At 49.2% G+C, this 24,628-nt stretch overlaps 1 protein-coding gene across 2 annotated transcripts in view, besides 1 other annotated feature; it reads left to right on the top strand.

Moving 5' to 3' along the window:
- Nucleotides 1–22,779, top strand: part of SYNE3 (spectrin repeat containing nuclear envelope family member 3) — a 109,385-nt gene extending 86,606 nt beyond the window's left edge. For both annotated transcript variants that reach the window (NM_001363692.2, NM_152592.6), the window contains exon 18: nucleotides 12,019–22,779. In NM_001363692.2, the coding sequence (NP_001350621.1) occupies nucleotides 12,019–12,219 (201 nt within the window). In that variant the 3' untranslated portion in view covers nucleotides 12,220–22,779. The remainder of the gene's footprint in view (nucleotides 1–12,018) is intronic.
- Nucleotides 2,570–2,639: an enhancer, noted in NCBI's record as "active region_8957". NCBI's record gives its function as "activates an Ori minimal core promoter by ATAC-STARR-seq in GM12878 lymphoblastoid cells {active_cell/tissue: GM12878}" and the evidence as "EXISTENCE:reporter gene assay evidence [ECO:0000049][PMID:35858748]".
- Nucleotides 22,780–24,628: the final 1,849 nt, after the last annotated feature.

The raw sequence follows: 24,628 nt of genomic DNA, 5'->3' as shown, positions 1-24,628 counted from the left end.
AGCGTTCATTGCTGTCTCTACCCTCCCTCCCTCCCTCCCTTCTTTCCTTCCTTCCTTCCTTCCTTCCTTCCTTCCTTAGTTCTGACTGTGCCAAGATCAGTGAACAGAAGAGCAGTGACCTGTCCTGTAGACTGTACATCCTGCTTGGGTGGAGAGAGGGGGATGGGACCAGAGCGCACATGTCCAGCTGATGTTGCTCAGTAGCACAGTGGGAATCTCTGGGTCAGAGAGCTCTGAAGGTCACACCACTTGTGATCCATGTAGCCCTGAGGTGTATCTTGTCTATGACCAGAAGACGTTGGGCACAGCTTGGTGGGGTATGCAAAGACGGAAAGCCCTAAATGACTAAAGAATCTGCTTACTTGGGCTATGTTTAAAACAATTGGATGTGTAAAAATCTGACTTTGGTGCTTGCTGCCTTTTGAGCTAACGGATCTCAGCCCACTGTGAAGAAGTAAACAACATGGGGGCCACTACACGGAGACCATCTGTGGCTCATTTATAGGACAGCTTGATAAAACATAGATTGCTGGACCCCACCTCCAGAGTTTTCGATTCATCAGTTTTAGGGTGGCCCATGAACCTGCATTTCTAACACGATCCCAGGTGATGCTGCTGCTGGGGGCCTGGGGACCACACTTTGAGAACCACCACTTTACACTCTGGGTTCAAACCCAGGCTCCACCATTAGCGTGTGTGACCTTCAGTGAGTCATTTAGCCGCAGTCTTCCAAATTTAAATGCGAGTCCACTCAGCTCCTGGTAGCAAAGTTCCTGTTGTAACCATGGCACATAGTAGGTTCTCAAGTGCTGTGTGAATGGGGACCTGGGAGACTTCTGCAGACACCGTCCTGCTTTTCTTTCTGAGAGCGAAGGGAGCAACGACACATCCAAGGGGGAAATCCTCCTTTAGCTTTGGTGTGTGCGTGATTCTTCACGGGTTGGAGTGTGGCGTATGCCTGTGTGGTTATGCGCACGCATGCACGTATGCACATCCACAGGCCTGGCAGGTAGCAAGTAGGTGCTGTCTTCAGAGGCTGTAATCTTGCCAACTTGAAAACATTCCACATATTATTTTTGGTCTAAGGGGAAAGGGGGAAAAATACTTATCCCAAAGCTAATTATTTATGAGCAGTTGGTTCTCCACACTTTTTTTCCTCCCTCCATGCTCCAAGTCATTGAAAGCCCCAGCTACGTCAGTGGCTTCAGCCTGCTTGTTTGTATCAACAGAATAATTAAGATTTATTAAATTTGCAGCTGCCTAGGCACTTGCCAACTCACTGCTGCGGGTGTGTTTGCCTGCAGCATTGAGACACGTGAAATGGCATTGCTTTTTGAGTTGCAGTTGTGCTGTGAGTCAACTATATTGCATTCCTTGCATTGGCCCAGGGAAGCGGCATAGCCCTACCTGAGACAAACTTTTAGTTGGGGATGGATTGGTCAAAGGTTCTGTGAGCCAGGGTGAAATAGGGCAGTGCTAGTTTGCAGAAGCAGAGAGCAGGCATCTCCCATCCATTTCATATGTGGGCTCTTGGAATATAGACCCAGATGTTGTGTGACCTGACAGTAGCATTTTATTTATTTGACTGTGTTTCATAGGTTTTAAGACTCATAATTTTTCACATTTTCACATCTCTGGAATTCGGGTGTCTTATTACAATGTAGTTCTTCCAGTGAAGATTTAGGTTTACTGCCCGTCACCCCCAACCTGAGATTCCTTTAAATTAAAATGTCTGCTTGCGGGTTGTGTTCTATTTGGGTTTCCTTTGGACCACACTGATTGTGTAAACCGAGACCGCCAACCTTGGGGAGCTCCAGCCTGTGTGGTTCAAACTCTTGAGGAAGAGTTTTGATTTCCTATCCTTCACCCACTGCCAACAGAAGACCTGGAATTTCCTTGCCTCCTCTTTCTGTGAGGTGGGTTTATTTCTCATTTCTCCTTACATTGAAGGTGCAGCTCCCTTGGTCCCCCATATTGATGTGGGCTTTCCAATCAGATGCACCATCTTGGTTGCTGTTCTTTTCTTTCTTAGCGGTTTGTAAAATAATGGTGCACTTTATAATCAGCGTCTTAGATTGAATGAGCTACTGTAATACCAAATCTCAGTGAGTATTCCATGTTAGATCATAACTTTCTCTCAAAATTTGTAGGGAACAGCCCCACAGGGTCGGTGAGTTTTTCTCCCCATATGCGGAGACGAGAGATTGTAGAAATAAAGACACAAGACAAAGAGATAAAAGAAAAGACAGCTGGGGCCCTGGGGACCACTACCACCAAGACACAGAGACCGGTAGTGGCCCCGAATGCCAGGCTGTGCTGTTATTTATTGGATACAAGGCAAAAGGGGCAGGGTAAGGAGTGTGAGTCATCTCCAATGATTGACAAGGTCACATGAGTCACATGTCCACTGGACAGGGGGCTCTTCCCTGCCTGGCAGCCAAGGCAGAGAGAGAGAGGGAGAGAGAGGGAGAGAGAGAGGACAGCTTATGCCATTAATTCTGCATATCAGAGACTTTTAGTACTTTCACTAATTTGCTACTGCTATCTAGAAGGCAGAGCCAGGTGTACAGGATGGAACATCAAAGTGGACTAGGAGCGTGACCACTGAAGCACAGCATCACAGGGAGACGGTTAGGCCTCCGGATAACTGCGGGCGGGCCTGACTGATGTCAGGCCCTCCACAAGAGGTGGAGGAGTAGAGTCTTCTCTAAACTCCCCTGGGAAAAGGGAGACTCCGTTTCCCAGTCTGCTAAGTGGCGGGTGTTTCCCCTTGGCACTGAAGCTACCGCTAGACCACGGTCTGCTTGACAATGGGCGTCTTCCCAGACACTGGCGTTACCCCTAGACCAGGGAGCCCTCTGGTGGCCCTGTCCGGGCATAACAGAAGGCTTGCACTCTGTCTTCTGGTCACTTCTCACTATGTCCCCTCAGCTCCTATCTCTGTATGGCCTGGTTTTTCCTAGCTTATGATTATAGAGCGAGGATTATTATAATATTAGAATAAAGAGTAATTGCTACAAACTAATGATTAATGATATTCATATATAATCATATCTAAGATCTATATCTAGTATAACTATTCTTTTTTTTTTTTTTTTTTTGAGATGGAGTCTTGCTTTGTCACCCAGGCTGGAGTGCAGTGGTGCGATCTTGGATCACTGCAAGCTCCGCCTCCTGGGTTCACGCCATTCTCCCGCCTCAGCCTCCCAAGTAGCTGGGACTACAGGCGCCTGCCACCACGCCTGGCTAATTTTTTTTTGTATTTTTAGTAGAGACGTGGTTTCACTGTGTTAGCCAGGATGGTCTCAATCTCCTGATCTCATGATCCACCCACCTCGGTCTCCCAATAGTATAACTATTCTTATTATATATATTTTATTATACTGGAACAGCTCGTGCCCTCGGTCTCTTTCCTCGGCACCTGGGTGGCTTGCCGCCCACAAAAATTATGATTTTTTTTTGCAAAAATCCCTCTTGTGTGTCAGGCACTGTGCTGGGAACACGTGTGCTTGGTCTTTAACACTCACAACTACCTTCTCCTTTTATAGTGGGAGGAAATGGTTTCTGGGCCCCTTGGCCCCTTCTCTCTCACGTGGGATGGGGTCAGATGGGAGTTGGGAGGGGCAACATAGGTTGAGTTTTTACCCCTGTGACTTACTGTGGAACTCCGGGGGCAGGTCAAATCTGCTTCTTCCCTGGTCACAACTAAAGGCCTGGGCTTTGCTAGGGCCATGCAGTCTCTGACCTCTAAAAGGGAGAGCCAGGGACAGGCTTCAAACCATGCTCTGTGTCATCCCACGGCCTCGCCACTCCGTCCGTCTACAGAGCCCAGAAGCAATCAGTCTTTGATGATTTGTGAACAAGTTGGTGCTAAAACTTTGGTCATGAAGTATTTGAAACTAGTCCTTGACTACTGAGATCCAGAGAAGCATTCTCTACACTTGCTCTTTCTATTTCTTCGTCTTTCTGTCACTCACCTTCCACCCCACAACTCCTCTGAAATTCACCCCAGTGAGGTACCCAGTAGCTACTTCTTCACTAAGACCAGTGAACTGCTGTTCTTATCACATTTGGCCCTGGGGCACTGGGGTCGATGACCACGGCCTCCTCTTCCAGCTGCCTCTATCCTGATACTTCTGTCTTTGTTTTATTGTTTGCCAGCTATCTAGGTCAGTGTTGATAACACTCAATGTTGATAAAATACTGTTATTTAATCCACAGTCCATATTTTAAAATTTTAAGCTGTCTCAATAGTCTCTTTTGAATTTATAGACTTTCGTTTTTGAGCAGCTTTCGGTTTATAGAAAAATTGAGCAGAATGTACAAAGTATTCCCATAGACCTCCTCTCATCCCAGCCTCCTCCATCTTCCCCATTAATTAACATCTTACATTAGTGTGCTCCATTTGCTAAGGCTGATGAACCAGTTGATACATTGTTATTAACTCAGTCCACAGCTTGCATGAGCGCCAACTCTTGGTATTGTACAACCTATGGGTGTGGACAAAGGTCTAATGACCAGTAGCCACCACTAAAGTATGTTGCAGAAGAATTTCACTGCCCTGAAAATCCCGTTCTCCACCTACTCATCCCTCCCCACCTCTCCCCAGGCCCTGGCAACCACACATCTTTCTGCTGTCTCCACGGTTTGCCTTTTCTAGGACGTCCTATGGCTGGATTCATACACTATGCAGCCTTTCAGACTGACTTCTTTTACCTGTCAACATGCATTTAAGGTTCCTCAGTGTCTTTGTGGCTTGACAGCTCATTTCTTTTTTCTTTTTCTTTTCTTTTTTTTTTTTGATGGAGTCTCACTCTGTTGCCCAGGCTGGAGTGCAGTGGTGCAATCTCTGCTCACTGCAACCTCCATCTCCCAGGTTCAAGCGATTCTCCTGCCCCAGCCCCCTGAGTAGCTGGAATTACAGGTGCCCACCATCACACCAGGCTAATTTGTTTTTTTGTATTTTTAGTAGAGTTGGGGTTTCACCATGTTGGCCAGGCTGGTCTCAAACTCCTGACCTCAAGTGATCCACCTGCCTTGGCCTTTCAAAGTGCTGGGATTACAGGCATGAGCCACTGTGCCAGGCCAATAGCTCATTTCTTTTGACCACTGAATTATATTCCATTGTCTGGAGATGTACCACTTACAGTCTTACTGGTAGATTTTTTTTCTCAGTCCAGGATCCAATCCAAGATCACACATTGCATTTATTGCCACATCTCTGTTTTCCTCCAGTCTGTCCCAGTTCCTAGGTTTTTCTTAATTCTTCTTGACCTTGACCTTTTTGAGTACAGGCCGGACAGTTTGTGGAATATCCCTTGGTTTGGGTTTCCCTGCTGTTTCCTTGTGATTGGATTTGGTGGCAGGTTCCTGGCAGGAATGTCACAGAGCGGTGCTGTGGTTTACTTGTGCCTCTTATCAGGAGACACATGTCGTCAGCATGTCGCACATGGGCTGTGCTCACTCTGACCATCAGTTAAGAATGGCCGCCCTTAGAGAGGCTTCTCCCTGTGAAGTTGCTACCATTGCTTTTGTAATGGATAAGTGACCTGTAGGGGCTGGGTAGAGGCACTAGAAATACAATGCCTCTTTCTTCATGGGTGGCATCCTCAGGTTCTCCAGGACCTGTCCCTCTCCTGGGTCACTCTCCCTGGCACCTCCTTCCAAGCCTGTGGTTTGCACACTATCTCATGGGTAACTCTCCCTGGCATCTCCTCCCATGCCTGTGGTTCATGCACCATCTGGTGGGTGGCTCTCCCTGGCATCTCCTTCCAGGCCTCTGGTTTATGCACTGTCTCTTGGGTCATTTTCTCCTTGGCATCTCCTCTCACACCTGTGGCTTTCTGCACCGTCTCATAGGTGACTCTCCCTGTCACCTCCTTCCACGCCTGTGGTTATGCACTGTCTTCAGACTGCGTGAGCTCTTGCTTCATCTGTAATGCAGGTCTCTCCTTCTAGCCTCAGTCCTAAAACCTCAACTGCCCATTAGATGTTTCCTTGGGGGTCCCACAGGCACCTCCCACTCATCACATCTAAAGCTGACCTCCCATGCCCATCAAATCCCCATCCCCATCAAATCCCCATCCCCATCAAATCCCCATCCCCATCAAATCCCCATCCCCATCAAATCCTCATCCCCATCAAATCCCCATCCCCATCAAAACCCCATCCCCATCAAATCCCCATCCCCATCAAATCCTCATCCCCATCAAATCCCCATGCCTACCAAATCCTCATCCCCATCAAATCCCCATCCCCATCAAATCCCCATCCCCATCAAAACCCCATCCCCATCAAATCCCCATCCCCATCAAATCCCCATCCCCATCAAATCCCCATCCCCATCAAATCCTCATCCCCATCAAATCCCCATCCCCATCAAATCCCCATCCCCATCAAAACCCCATCCCCATCAAATCCCCATCCCCATCAAATCCCCATCCCCATCAAATCCCCATGCCTACCAAATCCTCATCCCCATCAAATCCCCATGCCCATCAAATCCCCATCCCCATCAAATCCCCATCCCCATCAAATCCCTATGCCCATCAAATCCCCGTGCCCCTATCAGCAAAAAGCATCATGATCACCCAGTTTCCCAAACTAGGTGCCTGTGAGTCAACCTAGACCCTCACTGACCTTGGTCTCCATCCTAGGAGCAGAGCCTGCTCACAGGGGGATGGCAGATAAGGAAAGGTGCAGAAGGGAAGTGGCGGGAGGAGAGGAAGCCTATGGTCATACATCCGCTCCTGGATGAGGCTCCGTCCTTGCTTGAGTAATGACAATATCACTCCATCATTACATCCATGGGCACTTCTCACCTATTAGCTAAACCACAGGCCAGCTCAGATCGTCCCATCCCTCTCCCTCTCCAAAATCAACTGAAAAAATACATCTCTGTGTCCTGACATCCACGCAGAGCCACCCCAGTGAGGAGGCAAGACGAACCCAGCCCCCTGCCCAGCCACTGCCATCGTGTCCACGTGTGGGAAATTCCCAGAGCCTCTGAGTTCTTACGGGGAGCGAACGCAGGGCTGTAATTCAGTGCTTCTGGTGCCCAGAACTTAGCAAAGACAACATCCAAGTCAGAAGTGGCAGGGCCCAGTCCGGGAAACCAGGGCTGCCCTAAGACCTGCTGGCACTGCCAGAGCAAGACAGTGGTCCTGGCCACACCCCCTTCCTGGGAGTCTTGGGGACACCCAGGAGGAGGAAGCCAGCAGGGACTGAGTAGTGCTCAGAGGGGCCTTCAGAGGCCAACACGTGGCTCAGTGAGGGTTTCATGAGAGGCAGTGGGGCGGGCGCACCCTCCATGCCAGAGAGCAGCTGGCTCAGTGGGCCTCCTCCCACCGTCCCACGCTTGGTGCCTGCCTGGAAGCATCTTTGTAGTGGGTACTGAGACCTGGCCAGGTCCCAGTTAAGACCCTTAGCCTCAGTGGTGATGGGATGTGACTTCCTCCCTCCAGGCCCCAGGTCAGAGCACACCCATCCTCCACAGATCCCGGTTGAACAACAGAGGCCCCAGAGACTTTTGTTGTCGTTCTAATTGCTGTTTCTTGTGAGAAATGCCACGTGGGATAGTAGGAAGAGCCTGGGCTCTGGAGTGACACTGGAGAGCTGAGCCTATCTGTGTGACCTTGGACTGGGTACTCTCCCAGACTCAGTTTCTTCCTCTGTAAAATGAGCATAGGAAAGTCGGCCTCACAGAGATGCTCAAGGTGCCTAGGAGGCCCCTGAGTGAGGTGAAGAGTGGAGCTCAGGACCTTTGGTCCTGAGTTAGTGAGTTCACTAACAAGTGGAGCCCAGATATCCTGGTGAACCATGGGCACAGTGAGAACAGCTCGCAGACAGCAGGTGGCCCATGTCTCAGTGGTGGCCTCCGATGTATTGAGGGAGAAGCTGATGGCCAGAGGTGCAGGGAGGGAAGGAGCCTTATATTCATGGTTTCATTCATTCAGCAAATACTTACTGAGCACTGCTGAGGATACGGTAAAGCATAAGACTAATGTGGACCCCGCCTCCGAGGAGTTAAGGGCAGCACAGATCTTAATCAGTGATCCAGAAGAAAGGGTGCCCTGAGGATGTGTAAGGCCAGGGAGGGTCTCCTGGAGGAAGTGACTCAGGGTGAGATTAGAGTGATCAGTCAGCGCTAACCAGGTGGAGTGGAGAAAGAAGGGCAATGAGCATTCCAGACACACGGGACAGCCTGTGCAAAGGCCCTGTGGCGATAGGACGTGAGGGTCTTTAAGGAGCTGAGAGATAGCGTTTAAGGAGGGCAGTGCTTTCTTCCCTGATGGGACTGGAGGTGATGATGGTGCCTAATCCCTGCATCCCTGGCAGAGGGGAAGCTTGTGGGGCTTGCAGGAGCTGCCTCTCTGCCCCACACCCATCAGCCAGAGGAGAAAGGAAGTGAGCCTTTATTGGGTGCCTACTGTGCACTTTATGCATAGCATGCGTGGCCTCATTTATCCTTCCTACATTGGTAGGCAAGTATCACTCTCTCCCAACAGAGAAGAAACTGAGGCTCTGAGAGGCTAAGTGACATGCCCTAGATCACACATCTAGGACGTGGTAGAGTCAGGGTTAGAACCCAAGACTCCAAACCTTATATTTCCCCCACATCCCCTTTCACCAATGGTAGAAGATTAGGTCTCATGGACTGTGATGAACTCTAGCCTGCGATCCCCAGAAATCTGGAGTCTCAGATTCATCATGTAAGACCTTGGAGGACTCTTGGTCAGAGCCTCTGTTGGGTATGTTAACTCCTCTACACAACATATACTCCCTCCCCACCCCCATGGGCTCATCAACCCCTGCTTCCCTACCTTCAGGGATGATGTATTAGTCCGTTTTCATGCTGCTGATAAAGACATACCCGAGACTGGGTAATTTATAAAGAAAAAGAGGTTTAATGAACTCACAGTTCCACGTGGCTGGGGAGGCCTCACAATTATGGCAGAAGAAGAAAGGCACATCTTACATGGCAGCAGACAAGAGAGAATGGGAGCCAAGTGAAAGGGGAAACCCCTTATAAAACCATCAGATCTTGCGAGACTTATTCACTACCATGAGAACAGTATGAGGGAAACTGCCCCCATGATTCAATTATCTCCCACTGGGTCCCTCCCATAACACATGGGAATTATAGGAACTATAATTCAAGATGAGATTTGGGTGGGGACACAACCAAACCATACCAGATAGGGAGCTTATAACTTCCTGAGGAAGCCCCTTCTCTCTTTGGAAGAGCCAAGATTGTCATTTTTCTTGTTGGCTTCTTAGAAGGTTGTGTGTATGTGTGTGTCTGTGTGTGTGTGTATGTGTGTGTGTGTGTGTTTTCCTAAGCATTTGGGAAACATATTGAAAGGTGTCTTATTTTTAAGAGCATTTTGGAATCCAGGGCCCTCTAAGTGAGGACGTGAGGTCTAAGTAAACAGGCACTGGGCAGGCAGCAGGAATCCTTTGAGAAGACCATCCCTTGTCAACACTTGTATGTATAAACACTTTTTGGACCTTCAAAGACATTTTCCCCAGAGGATCATGGCCAAGGCACAGCCCCTCTCTTGAATAAGCAAAGTGTTAACTCTGAGAATGAAGGGGCAAATAAAAAAGGACACTTGTAAGCAGACCCTCCATTTGGGAGAACCTTAATTACAGGTTGTTAGTTGCAGTGGAAACCCAGGCTGGGTGGCCCTCCAGCTCATTGTCTTGCCCCTTTTCTCTCTCCCTGGGTGGGTCTCATGGGTCAGAGATTTGGCCCCACCCAACCCAGCAGCTATGGGAAGAACCACCTTCTCTGTGAACTCACACTCATTCAGCCGCTTAAACAATGTGTCACCCACCCCCACCCTCCACTCCCGAAGTCACTGCTGAAATACATGCAGCCAAGAGTACTTATTCATGGTTATAATCAGCCTGTTTTATAAAATCAGTGTCTAAAGACTTTGGTGAGTGAACACATTTGAGACTGGAGGCACAGGGTTAAGCGTTATCATCTGGAGGGGATACTTGGAGCAGGGGAATACATGAGTTGACTCAGAGAGGAGAGGTAGAGAGACAGAACTGCCCAGGTTAGAACCTCCCAGGAACATTTACATTTAACAGTGCTTCTTCATCACCATCATCACCCTCACCATCACTACCACCACCACCATCACTATCATCATCATCACCATCACCATCACCTCCATCACCATCATCACCATCACCATCATCATCTCTATCACTCACACTTACCATCACCATCACAGTCACCATGATCATCACCATTATCACCATTTCCATGATCATTATCACCATCATCACCACCTTACTCTCACCACCCCACCCCCACCCCACCACCATTAGCGTCATGATCATTATCGCATCACCACCATCATCAAGCATCACTGCCATCATTGCCATCACCTCCATCGCCATGGTCACTATCACTATCATCATCACGGGACTGTGGCTTTTGGTGCCCTGGAGGGTGAACCTTGGTTCTTTAGGGAGCCAGCAGATATATTCTATAATAATAGTACTAGTGCTATGATTACTAATATTAATAGTGATGAATGTCACTAACAGTTACTAATAGTGCTAGCACTATTATTATAAATAAGTATTAATAGTACTAATAGTAAGAACTGGTACATTTATCAATCAAGGTATATATATACCTTTGCTTTGAGCCCTCACCACAGCCCAGCAAATAGGGGTAGGTGTTTGATCCCCATTTTGCAGAGCAGATAACAGAGGATCCAATATTGATTTGCCCAAGGTCACATAGCTGTTGAGTAACAGAGTCTGGGTGGGGACCCAGTCTGCTAGGATCCTAAAAGCTGGGCTCGTCCTGCACTCTGCAGCATCTTGACCATGAGGGCCTCACTCTTCTGAGTGACCAGCTCTTGCCCCTGCACTCCTTGGCAGTCAGACATCCATGAAGCCACAACCTGGCCAGTCCCTCCAGAACTTAGGAAATGTTTTCTTGGCCACTTTCAGGGACATTGTAGCAGAGAAGTCCATTAGGCATTTGGACTTGTGAGACTAACCTTCATGTGATACTGATGGCAATAGTGATGGTGATGAAATTGATGATGAAATAAAAGGAGGAGGAGGAAGAGAGGGAGAAGAGGGAAGGAAAGAGGGAGGAAAAGAAGAGAGGGGCCAGGCGCGGTGGCTCACACCTATAATCCCAGCACTTTGGGAGGCCAAGGAGGGTGGATCACGAGGTCAGGATTCAAGACCAGCATGGCCAACATGGTGAAACCCCATCTCTACTAAAAATACAAAACAATTAGCTGGGCATGGTGGCAGGTGCCTGTAATCCCAGCTACCCGGGAGGCTGAGGGAGATAATTGATTGAACCTGGGAGGTGGAGGGTGCAGTGAGCTGAGATCACACCACTGAACTCCAGCCTGGGCGACAGAGCGAGACTCCATCTCAAAGGAAAAAAAAGAAAGAAAGAAAAGGAAGAGGGGGAGGAAAAAGAGGAAAGGGAAGAAAGACAAGAGGAGGAAGAAAGTGACGATGATAAATTTGATGCTGGTGATGATGGTGATGACGAAGATTTAGATGGTGAAATATTAAGGATGCATACTAATCATGACAGCAGCTGGTACATACTTACTATGTGCCAGGCTCTGCCTCATTGGATCCTCATGACAATTCTGTCATGTAGGTGCCATTATTGCCCCATCTGAAGATGAGAAACTAGAGATTCAGAGAAGTCAAGTGACCTTAGGATTCACAGCCAGCACTCTGCTACACCAGGCAAAGATATATGTCACAATGGCAGAGCCTGCAACTGTGTTTTCTATTCTTCCTTTCATGCCTTGAATGCTTTGGGAAAACTGCAGAAACCCTGTTTCTGTTAAAACTTACATTAGCCCTGTTTCACAGATGAGAACCTGGAGATGTGTACTGTCATACAGTCAGTTCAGTGCTACCACCGCTCCTGGCATCCTCCTCGCCCCCTGAACCTGCCCCCCACCACCAGAGCCCCCCAGCCCACTCACCTGTGCTGTGTTGGTTCCGCAGACTCGGCGGTGGCGAGGACTGGGCTCCCTCTTCCGGAGGGCGTGCTGTGTGGCGCTCCCACTGCAGCTGCTTCTGCTGCTGTTCCTCCTCCTGCTGTTCCTGCTCCCAATCAGGGAAGAGGACCGCAGCTGCACCCTGGCCAACAACTTCGCCCGCTCCTTCACGCTCATGCTGCGCTACAATGGCCCACCACCCACCTAACCCACTGGGGCACACAGGTGACTTTCTCCTCCAACCTCCATCAGTCCCAGGGCCCCTCCTGAGGATGCTCGCCAGGGAAACTGGAAACAGGGGCAGGGCAAAGACTGCAGAGCTGCATCCATATCAGTGCTGTGTCAGCGTTCCCAGAAGACACTTACTTTTTATACAGTGTTGTCTTAGTCTATTTATACTAAATGTGTACTACATGTGACTAGGGAATAATGTCTAGAATTTTTATATGATCTGTATGTAAATGCTCAGTATGTATAATTTCATATACGAGTTCTATTTGGAGTTGGGAAAATTCCTAGCAATGGCTCCCTCCAATGGGATTTTGTGGTATTGTTGACTTGGTCTGCAGTCAACCCTAGAAAGCAAGAACAATAACATGTCACTTTCATGGCAACCTCTTCTCCAAAGCGAATCCCAGAATTCAGATGTAATGAAAGGCCTCTGAGCTGCAACGTGGAAGAGCGCCATAGACCCTCACTTGGTGCCCAGCGACTCTTGCTTTATGCGTAATGAGAACAAGTATGCTTGTCTAGTTTTAACAACCACAAAGAGTAGCTGCCACGTGTCAGAAGTAGAAATGGCAATGACCAGAGGCAGGTTCAATGATAGCAGTGACAAGTGACAGAGTGATATCGAGGGAGAAAAAGAAGAGCTGCAGAGAGCAGATCCCCGAACTAAGAAAGCACAGCTGTGTGGAGGCATTGCATGCCGGAGCCCTAACCCCAGCTCTCAGCGGCTTCTGATCACACAGACCTATGAGGACTGTCCCTGGTGATGACACCGAGCCCCCATGAAACGGTGAGATCCTGCTCTGTGTGTTTCATTCAGGGAGAAAGGGAAGAAGACAAGCTTGATTTTTAAGATTTCCATGCAGAATGGTGAGGCACACTCGGTGGGCAGCACCCACTGGCAGTGCCCAGGAAAGATGTGTTTCCTCTGTTGCTCCTGGACTGAGTTTTCATCGTCGAGAGCTCGAGCTGCAGGTGAGAAGGGAAGCATCTGCCACGCCAGGGGCCAGGGATCGAGGGTCCAGGACAGAGGTGAGAGAATCTGCTTTGGAGTTCAGCCTGTCTCAAGGGCTCTCCTTCCGCTTCCCAGAAAAGACTCTGGAGACAGCAGGTCTATGGGGCCAAGAAGGTCTCATGTGCATCCCCATATGGGACTAGGGCCCAGGCCACCCAAAACCAGGCCCTCTCCAGCCAGGTGTAGGCGAGCTGGGCTCCATGCACCACCTGGGCTGGGGCCGCGGTGACTCCATGTGAGTTCCCGAGGCCAGAAACTCATCCCTTCCTTGCCAGGGAACTCTGGGATGGTTCCTAAGTGCTCTACAACTGGATCATGTTTTTCCTAAATCAACACTAAATTTTCCCCTTTAAAAAAGTACTTAATGCCCACTCTCTACAAATGGATTTTGTCTGTTCAACTACAAATACGAGGGGATTTCCTCGGACCTTCTGTCCGGCTTTGGAATCATAAGGTATTATAGACCCAGAAAGGCCCTTTAAGTAGAGGGGAAACTGAGGACCTAAGAGGGCCTGATACCCAGCACCATTGCTGTCTCACACACACTGACCCTTTGCCTTTCACTGTGAGCTCTGCCCTTGGGGACCCGGGTCCTAGGCAACTAGGACATTTCACCGGCAGGAAACCCGTGCTGCCAAGGAGAGCCCTTGGGGCTGACTCAGAAAGCGTACTTTTTTTTTTCTTTTAACTCGTCTGTATTTGTTACAACTTTAAGCAGAATGTGACTTGGGCACTATATTTCCATCCACAAGCCTGGCTCTGAGTTATTATTATTATTGTTATTATAATTATTTTGAGATGGAGTTTCGCTCTTTTTGCCCAGGCTGGAGTGCAGTGGTGCGATCTCGGCTCACTGCAACCTCCGCCTCCCAGATTCAAGCGATTCTCCTGCTTCAGCCTCCCAAATAGCTGGGATTACAGGCATCTGCCACCATGCCCAGCTAATTTTTGTATTTTTAGTAGAGTTAGGGTTTTACCATGTTGGCCAGGCTGGTCTCGAACTCCTGACCTCAGGTGATCCGCCCACCTCAGCGTCCCAAAGCACTGGGATTACAGGCATGAGCCACCATGCCTGGCCATTTTTTTTTTTTTTTGAATAGCTTTATGATAAGCTGTAGGCTTATAATTATGCTCCTCCAAACAACACTTTTCTTTGGAAAACAAGCCCTGTAGACTCTCCATCCTTCCATCAAGTTCCTTCCCTCAAGCTGCTTCAGTTTAACTTATTTCTACAAGACTAGTACATGCAGAATTGGCAACTACAGGGGATGAAAAGTTCAAAAAGTAGATCCTACAACCCTGTGACTTGGTTTCCAAATATCTAGAGAAATTTGTGATTTCATGGAAGAAGAGAAAGCACACTTTTCTCCAGATATCTGGAAACCAAGCCATAGGGCCGTTCTCTGCAGGCGACCACCTTACTGGAAAATCAGGAGCTGAGTGAGCCCAGGCAGCCAAGCCCAGATGTCCAGTCCTGGAAGTCAGAGCAGTGGCAGGGTGGGTGGGTGGGGGGGCCTTGCCAGGTGTCCACTTTCCTATGTCACAGGTGAGAAAGCTGAGGCCCAGAATGGGGAAGAAACTGATCCATGGCCACACAGTGAGAGGCAGCAAGGCCAGAGCCCAACTGGCCACCATGGCCCTCAGGTGGTACCCTGCTCATTGTGGTATGATCCGCTCATGTCAGCAACTACATGAAAAAAACAGCCACTGGGCATGTATGCAGCCTGTCACATATACCACATGTTGGGGAAGGAGAAGCTGGAACATGCGGGCGGGGGTGGGAATATCTACCTATATTTTTTAAATTTTGATAATGATGCCATCAAGTCTGTTTGTTTGCATAACTGTTTTTTAAAAAAGAATTGATATTTTCAGTATTTTCATATAAATATACTTGTAATATAACGTAACAGCCCAGTTACTGGTGCTTCCAAGCACAAGTGCAATCTCCTTTGCTTAAAGGAGAGCCAGGCAATTATTCTTATGACTTTAGTTTCCAGCCTCTTTAACAGCCATGCAGAGCTTTAAGGTGCTACTTGAGAAAGGTGGCGCTGTGGCGTGTGTGTGTGTGTGTGTGTGTGTGTGTGTGTGTGTGTGTGTGTGTCAGAGAGAGAGAGAGGAGGGAAGGAGAGGAGGGAGAAAGGACCACCAGTGGGTCGGTTGATGAATTAGTTATCCCTGCTTACCTGTCCCTCCCACCCCTTTCTTTCTTAGCCCGTTCTCTGCATGTGGAAAGGCACATGCAGCACCCAGAGGGTGTTTAAAAAGAAAAGCTGGGAGCGGGAGGGATGGGCAGGTACTGACAGCAGACGAGGCGAGGAGACCCTGGGAGGTGCCCAGTGGTGGCGGGACAGAGGGAACACCGACAAGGGAGACAAAGAATGTGCTCGTTTGGTGCTCGTGGGTGCTTGAGCCCCTTGGGCGGCACTTTGCAGCCTTGCTTTATGTAATTCCCACATCGACACCTGCCCCCAGGGTTTGATACTGTTTTACCCCCATGTTTGAGATGGAACCCTGAGGCTTAAAGATATAAAGACCCTTGCTCATGCTGAAGTGGGTCCAAACCCACAACATGGGGCAATGAGGACCCCAAAGCCCAGGCTGGAGGGGGGCTTCAGGCTGGTTCTACCAGGTTGCAGTCTCTGTAGCCTCTGGGAATGGAGTTCCCTGGGCAAGCAGGCAGAACTCTCTGCCCATCAGCTCGCCTGGGACATGGCCAGAGCGGAGCATCCAAATGTTTCCCTGAGGGACTGCCCTCAGCTCTGAGATGAGTCACCACCAGCAGCACATTCCCTTGGGCCATCTATCATTATCTTCACATTGCTCACCTGGAAGATGAGCCCCTCTAATGTCTCATGATGAGGTCCTCGGTCATGAATGACAGAACTCCACACCCCCAATGCCCAGCACAGGATAAGAGCTTCAGCTGTGGTTTGTTGAATTACATTAAAAACCCAAAGGCAAATGTGTTTCCTGACACCCGACTCCCTTCCAGAGGAAATGGGTCAAGGATGACCTGACCCAATTCCATCTCTCAGGCCCCGTTTGCTTCAGGCAGCTGGCTGGAGTTCCCTGCAGGGACCGGGGGTCCAAAGATGCTTGTCTCCGGGCATCTTCAGGGGAAGGAAGCTGGGGACCCTCTGCACCCTGGGGGCCAAGGAGAATGACAGGCAGAGGGCAGGAAAAGGCCTGAAGGCGGGTGGTTTGTGCTGGATGTTCCCTAATGGATTTTACAGCTGGCAAACTGGGACCGGTGGCATCATCCTGCCCTGCCTTGCAGGGGATGGGAGGCTGGGGCTGCCCACAGTTAGGGAGTAAAGAGGGGATCTTATCTCTTCCATTAGACTGGAGCCAGGCCTGACTGGGAAGCTGGGAGGCTTTGCAGAAGCTTTGAGGAACTGCACTTTATGGTGGTCTGGCTGGAGAGGGCGGACGGGGAAGTGGGCCAGAGGGAGTCAAAGGCCAGAGGTGATGTCAGGCTTGATTTACTGAACTGTGTGCTTAAAAGTGGTTAAGATGCTAAATTTTATGTTATGTTTATTTTACCACAATTTGAGGGTGAGAGGAGAGAGTGAGAGCAAAAGAGACAGAGAGAAGAGAGAGAAAAGGAGGAAGGGAGGGAGGGAGGGAGGGATAGAGAGAGAGAAAAAGAGAATGGGAATGGCAGGCTGTGCCTTCATGGTTCCCAACTTTCCTCTGAGGACAAGCGCTAGTGGCAAAGCTTTCACTGACCAAAGGCAAGTGAAACAATACGAGGGAACAACTTGAGTTTTTCTTTCCATAGGATTTATTTTGCCCAAACGCTGGCTCTTCATTCTGGGATTATGTCCCTCCTACTTCAAGGGTGCTCAATGGCCTTTAGGAAATGAGGGATAGGTAAAGGTGGCTCTGTCTTCTTTGATGGTTTCTATTGTGTTTTGGGAGCCCTCATTGGACAAAATAAAAAGTTGCCAACTCTATGTTGGTTTTGCTCCCCATACAGTATTCTTCCTGGAAAAACATGCTGTCTGAAAGTTTGGGAACCCAGGAGATGGTTGGGAGAAGAGAGCAGCTTGAGGATTGCTTAGTGCAGGAGTCCCCGAGGGAGAGAAGGAAAGAGAAATGGGAAGAGGGACATCGTGGAAAGTTGTGGCAACTGGGTTCAGGGGAGGCCAGGAGCCTGCCAGCTGTGGCCTCTAAAAAAATAAAACCCAGGTGCTCACTGGCCCTGCCTTCCCACTGGCCATTCGGATGCTGTCCGGGGTCTGCGGCTTTCTCTCCCCTGGTTGGTGGGCAGAAGTGCCCTGTGCCTCTTTGCATCTTAATCCAATGCAACAAGCATTCTCCAGCCTGTGCCAGGCTTTGTGCTGGGAGATTCGGGGTGAACAAAGCCCAGTCCCTGCCCTCAGGGAGCTTGCAGACGAAGAAAAGGGTTTGTGCCATTGAAGATGCCCAACGGGATTGCAGTCATTGCCCTTGACTTTGCCCATCTGCCTTTCCAGAGGGGGCAGGCCCACTGTCACAGAAACTGGAAGAGCCACACAGGGGAGACAGTGGGAGAGCTCGGAACAGGGCATGAGAGTGTCTTGCTGCCTCTTGGAGGCCACCATTGTGACTATGAACCATACCGGGCAGAGGAAGTGGGTCAAGGAGGCCAGGGCAGCTGGGCCGGGCAGGGAGAGGACCTGGGCATGGCAGAGGAGGGGAAAATAGACTGACCCAGCCTCAGGAGGTCAGAAGTGTGTTGGGCTGTGCTGGGTCACAGAACAACACAGCTTGGGAGGCTCCTGGAGGCTTCAAGGGGAGGCTTAAGGCTAAGGCTGTGGATGTTGATTGTCGTGTCCATTACTAGCCCAATTATTAGTCTGTCTTCCTGGTAAAAATGTGTGGTTGGAAATGCCAAACTGAGAAGCCCACTTTTCCCCACTGGGGATCATCTGGGTTGGCGTGTCCATGCTCAAGGATAATCTCTTGCCCTTTCCTGCCCCCTGCCTAGGATTTCTCCCCAGAGGAGAGGAGCTGAGGGACCCCCCCAGGGAGGCTGTGCCTGTGGCTGTCACCCTATGATGCCAGCGGCTTCCTTTGGATTCTGTAATCAGAGTGTTTTTCACCGGTGTCTGCAGTGATTGCCAGGAAGCCTCTGTGTCCATAGCCCAGCGGGATCCTGCCCTAATTCCCTCTCTCATGGGCACTCAGCTAATTCTCACCCCAATCTCATTGTCACCAGTCTAGGTCAGCATTGGAGGGAGGTGTGGGCAACTACAGCCCTTGCTGCTTCCAAGACAGACATCAAAATAGTTGATCACCAACCTTTCCCACTCCCCACTCTCTGACCCAATGGACCTCACAGTCCTCAAAACTACTCCAAGCTACTGCCAATCAATCATTTTCTTATGTGAGCAAAACCTGTTTGACATCCTTACACCTGTACCAGCCCTCTCAGAAAGCTCTCAATTCTGGTCTCCTTTTCTTTTTTCTTTTTTTTTTTTTGAATTTATGTTAAAATTAGGATGTTCCCAATCAAAAAATCATTTTTCCTTCATCTAGTAATTGGGTGAGACAAACTAGCCCCAGAAAGCAGACAATGGGATGAACTGCCAAGTAGGACTTTTAGGGGAGGCAAAATGGATTAGGAAATGCTAAGTTCTCTGTTGAAGGAGGATACCTGGATTCTTCAGGCTGTCAGAGTTGGAGGGCTTCCATAGACTGTCTTGTTCCAACTTTGTACCCATTTTACAGGTTAGGACTCTGAGACCTCAGCAGTTCTTGTTTGGCCAGTGAGCTCAGGGAGTTAGTTCCAGGAGTGGGGGTCGGTCTCTGCACCCACTGGATGACAGCTTGATACTGCTCAGCACTAGACAGGGTTGAGTTGGAACTCTGCTGCTGATGGGCTGTGTGACATTGGTCCAGTTCCTTACCACCTCCCCCCACCTATTGGTAAGGAGGGAAGTCAGCCCTGGAGCGTTCAGTGCTCCCTGAAATATTAGGTATCCTAGGATTGTGCGCGTGGGCTCGCATCTGGAAGAGAAATCCCTAGATTCAGCCACGAGTAACAGAATCCCTCCTCCCCCGACCAACTTTGGCTTAAACCAGTCAGAGACTTTACTTTTCTCTCCTCCTGAGAAGTCTAGATATAGGCGGTTGCTGGCATCGTCTCCTCAGGTTATGGATGTCAGAGCCAAGGCTTTGCAACTGTCCTTCCTTTATATCACAGTCACTTCATGGCCCAGGATGCTTGCTGTACCTCCAATTTTTCATCTGGGTTCCAGGTAGGAAGAAGGGGAGTGAACTAGACGAATCTGCCCTCCTCATTAGCAGCTTTCCCAGAAGCTCCACCAGCCACTTCCGTTCTCATCTCATTGGCCAGGACTGTGTCACATGTTTTCCCCCACATCTGCAAGGAGTCTGGGAACATGTGCCCCAAAAAGATGGGGGCTCTTCTAGTAAGAATGAAGGGTAGGGTGGCTTGGAGTGGCACTTCGCTGTCTCTGCTACAATTGGAGGAGAAAACCAGAGTTTGTCCTGACCCTCCATGCCTTGGCTGTATGCTCCTTGTGTGGAACTCGAAGGCATCATCCTTGCAGTGTGAGAGTGACCTGCCACCACGGCCTGCCACCTCCTCTCAGGGGACCCTGAGTCCTTCAGGTCTACCCAAAGGCATTGTAGACATTCTTCCTGCAAGGCTTGGGAACCGACAAATAGATCTGCCCAGCTTGCCAGAGTTTTTGTGCAGGAACAGCCCCTCCCGTCTTTGTCCTGGCGGTGAGCACCCAGGGCTAAGCTTTTGAACACTTTCTTTGTGTTTGGATTCAGCCCAGGCAATGCATATTTGCTTTCATTTCTTCTTGAGCTTGAGGAGCTCCTGGGTGCAAATCTTGGAAAATGAGGATCTCTGAGCCTTTCCAGGCCAGCTCTTTGTTTTGTAGCAGACAATTGAGGCTTTGAAAAGGAAAGTGGGTGGGGGCACCCCACAGGTGGCCCTCATCACCCAATTGCCAGTGCCTGCAGGCTGCTTCAGCAGAGGCCCAGAGTCAAAGAGGACTTAAAACCAGCTGTCGTTTCTCCCTTAGCTTCTGTGTATGAGAGAAACGACTTCTGTTTTTCAAAGTAAGAACAAGGAGGAATTTGTTTCTAAAAGAACATTAAAACACAGGCTCGTGGTCTAAAAGCAAATGGTTCAGCAGGATGTTCAGGGCCTTAAAGCACAGTCAGCAGGACTCAGCATCTCCCAGCACCTGCTCTCCGGTTGTCATGGTAACATCATCCCCAACCCAACCACCTTGTCCAGCCGAGAGACAGCAATCATAAGGAGGGACCTCGGTTTCCCCCGAGGATCCTGGGCTTCCTTTCTGAAACGCTTGCTTCTGAGCTCAGCAACCAGGAACACCAGGCCAGCCCATCCCCAGCACCTCTGTGGAGATGAGGGACAAAGTCCTACAGTCCCTCTTCCTGTTCTGATGAGAAAGGGAGGGAAGAAAACATACCCCGAGCGCCTGCAATATGGTCATGACACTTTCAAAAAGCCTGTGCTATGGAGTCATGATCAGAAACCAGAGTGTGGAGAGGGTCAGCAGCCTGCCTCAGAGCAGCCAGCTAGGCGGGGAGTGGTAAATTTGGGACTTGTACCCAGGCATGACTGGCTCCGAGCCCAGTGCTCCACTCTATGGAATGTTCCCTGGGCCTCAGTTGCTTTCCTTTCCTTTGCAGGCCGCGGGCTGCTGCCACTCTGGCAGCTGGTGAGTTAGCTGGAGGGCAACATTCCAAAGCAGGGGCAGCATGCTGCTTTCCTCCTGTGCCCACTCCTGCGGGGAAGTCCGTTGACTCCCACCGCTGAAGGGAGCTGGCAACACCAGGATGAGGTCCCAGGGGACGGGAGCAGGTACCCACTGTCTGTCTACCTTCCCACTGGAAAAGCACGGACAGGCCAGCCCTTGCGGGGGCAGGCAGAGGACAGAGTTGGCTTTGCGCGGTCTCTGCCTGCTGAGCAGTTCCAATTCCTCTCATGGGAGAAACAAGGAGGCAGTCGCTTGTGCATGTTCCAGAAGTTTTACTGGGGAGGAGGAAGCGGACAGAGGAAGCTGTGTGTGCATGTGAAGGGGTGGGCAGGGTGGGAGGGATGCACGCGTATGTGAGCATAGCATGTGTGAGTACTACACACATCTCCATGCAGAAGCACAACTGGGCAGCCCTGGCTTCCAGCTCTGGGCTTCAGCACAACAGACACCAGCCTGTGGTCTCTCAGAAGCCAGGGAGACCACATCGGGCTCAGGACGTTTTACCCAAAGTCCAGAGTTTTTATGCCTCTCCCTGGCATTCTCCATAAAGAAGGGAAGGTCAGATGACCCCTTAGATCTGTGTCATCTGGGAATTTCCTTGGGCTGGTTTAGACACGATGCCCTCTTTTTCTCAGGATAGCAGATAACCTGCTTTGAAAGAGGGCTTAATTCTGTGGGTCCTAAATTTTCTCCTTTCTCTCTCTCTTTCTGTGTGTGTGTGTTGGGAAAATGGCAAGTTTCCAATACCAGCTTTGGAGGAACGATTACGTTTTCCCTCCAATTTCAAGTCCGAAAGACCAGAGCCCTCATTCCAAAGCCCCCCACCCAGATGGATTTTTTCGTTTCATTTGTCATCCGTCCCATGGGAGGGCCCCATGTCTCCTCAGAACCCATCCTGGAGGCAGCAGGTCGGGTAGAGTGAGTTTGGCCTGCTCATGACCTCCACCCCTGAGATTGTGAACAAGGATGTCTGGGGCGATGCTGAGAATGTTTTTGAAGCTGCTCCCAGATGACGCTGATGATCACACCAGATTGAGTGCTGCGATCGCCTTGAGTCCAACCTCTGCATAAACGAGGTTCTCATAAACAAGTTCACTCTACCCTAAGCTAAGTCTATGTGAGCAAACCCACTTCATCCTTTGTACCTGGAGACCTGGTTACACTAACCTGATACTGACCTGTTCATGTAGCTGGAATGGTGTGTTTCATGCAGTGTGGACCAAGCAATGGCATGGGGTGTGTGTGTGTGTGTGTGTGTGTCTGTGTGTGTGTGTTTGTGTATGCGTTCACACTTGTGTGTGTATATGTGCATGTAGATGCTGCATAAATGATTTTTGATGTCAAAGACAAACACATTCCATTGTTTTAAATATTCTATTATGTAAACAATACGCAGAGGGACCATATCTACTCTTGTCATATTATTTGTGATGGTAAAACATGCATTTGCAATAAATTAAGCTTTCTGGGAAGGCAAGCAGTATTGGAGCCAAACGACTGTCTCGGAACATGTGTGTGTTATCTCGGTTCATATCAAGTCCAAAGCTAATGGAGCCTTCCCCGCCATCCAGGGAGGAACACCAGGACCCCGGAGTTTCTTCTTAGTGCTATATTTTAAAGTTGCATTGACGTTTTCCTCCCCTTCCTTTTGTGCAAGTTGGAAGTAGCAGTGTTCTAAAAGATGGTTTGACGTTTTTGCTGTTGTTTTATGTTTTTAAAAATGTATCTGCTTTGTGTTTGGAAATAAAAATCTCTATTTTGGTCTATGAAATACTGTGTGGTTTGGAAATTCGTTTTCTGAAGTAAAGGAGTTTGTCCAAGAGGTTATGAGAAGAAAGATGACATGTGGCTAAGGCTGACATTGTAAAATTCTGACTTCCAGTTCAACCTCTTTCATGCAGAGGTTGAACTCAGGGCGACAGCAACACTCAATCTCATGTGGATATCAGCCTCATCTGGGAGCATCTTCAAACACATTCTCAGCATCTCTCCAGACCTCCTCGTTCACAGTCTCAGGGGTGGGGGTCATGGGCAGGCCAAGTGGATACTGAGAATTCCAAAATGCACTCTGGGTGCATTTGGTAGAGAAACAGCACCCCCAGTAGATCCAGGCACTAGCCCAGATAGAGGTAAAAGGACGCCTTTCCAACCATTTCACTCCCAACCCCAGGGATCAAAGCCCCACCAGGACAGTTTATTTCACAAAGAATTCTTGGGTTTGGCTATCTGGTTTCGTAACTCACAGTGCACTGGAAGCTGCAGAGGAGAAGGGGAGGACACTGCGAGATGCAGGAGAAGCCAGAGACACCATCCTGACTTTTGAGGGCAGGTCTAAGAAACCGGCAAGTAAACCCAGGAGCTGCCACAGGCTAACAAAAGCTCCTAACAAGGACCTTGGTTTGCCAAGAAAAGGAAAATGTATGTCAGAATCTTCTGCTTACCAAGGAACAGAAGTGTACCCTTCAATTCAGAACACTGTCATTAGAAGGATTTAAAATAAAATGGTTTTGCCTCTAGTATAATTTGTTCTCCCAAGTGAGAACTTTTAAAAAATTTGCTATTATTTTAATAATGTGTGTAATACGTTTCCTAAGTTTTTTCCATCTCTGTGATCTTAAACCCTTCTCACCCTTTGGGAGGTGAGGCGGGATAGGGGGTGGGGGGACTTGAGTGAGAAGCATTATATCTGTAGCCCCTCACTCCTTACATGACTGGTAAAGGAAGAGACAAAGTTTTAGTCTCCATATGAATCCAAGTGGAGTCCAGAGCCGTGCATGAGACTTTGAACTGTTGGTGCAAAAGTTGTTACAGGCTGGAAGCGGTGGCTCATGCTTGTAATCCCAGCACTTTGGGAGGTTGAGGTGGGCAAATCATTTGAGGTCAAGAGTTCAAGACTAGCCTGACCAATATGGTGAAACCCTGCCTCTACTAAAAATGCAAAAAAAAAAAAAAATAGTCAGGTGTGGCAGTGCACACCTGTCGTCCCAGCTACTTGAGAAGCTGAGGCAGGAGAATCGCTTGAACCTGGGAGGTGGAGGTTGCAGTGAGCCAAGATCACGCCACTGCACTCCAGCCTGGGCGACAGAGTGAGACTCCATTTCAAAAATAATAATAATAATTATGGTTTTTGCCATCAAAAGTAATAGATTTGGATCTGGTTCAGTGGTGCATGCCCTAGAGTTAAATGTCATTCAAATGAGTCTCTGAGTTTTTGACTTGGTGAAGCAGTTCTGCAGAGAAAGGGCAAAGGGTGGGAAAGTCTGTTCTTTTAGGAAGGAGGAGCGGTCCTTGGTTTTTCCATCTGCCTTGTTTAGGGCAGATGAAGCCAGGTTGCCAGCACTCCTATAGAGGACCCTGCAAATGGAAGAATCACTTTCCACTATCAGGCCGCAGCAAGACCACTGCTGGCTACAAGGAGTTTACAACTGAGGGAGGTGATTTCACCCAGCATATCGGGATCCATTGTCTAAAGTCTTAGAGTGGTGCTAAGTACCCTCACAGAAACACTTGTGAGTCTTGTGGCCCCGAATAACAAGAACCCTTACCTTCTAAGTAGTTGTCCAAAAAATAAAGCAGCATGCTTTTTGAAGAAAGACAGAACTCTGTCCACGGGGATGCTC

The sequence above is a fragment of the Homo sapiens genome, chromosome 14 (assembly GCF_000001405.40).
Source record: "Homo sapiens chromosome 14, GRCh38.p14 Primary Assembly".
NCBI lineage: Eukaryota > Metazoa > Chordata > Mammalia > Primates > Hominidae > Homo > Homo sapiens.
The sequence above is the reverse complement of the archived record's forward strand: the minus strand, read 5'-3'. Positions and strand labels throughout refer to the sequence as shown.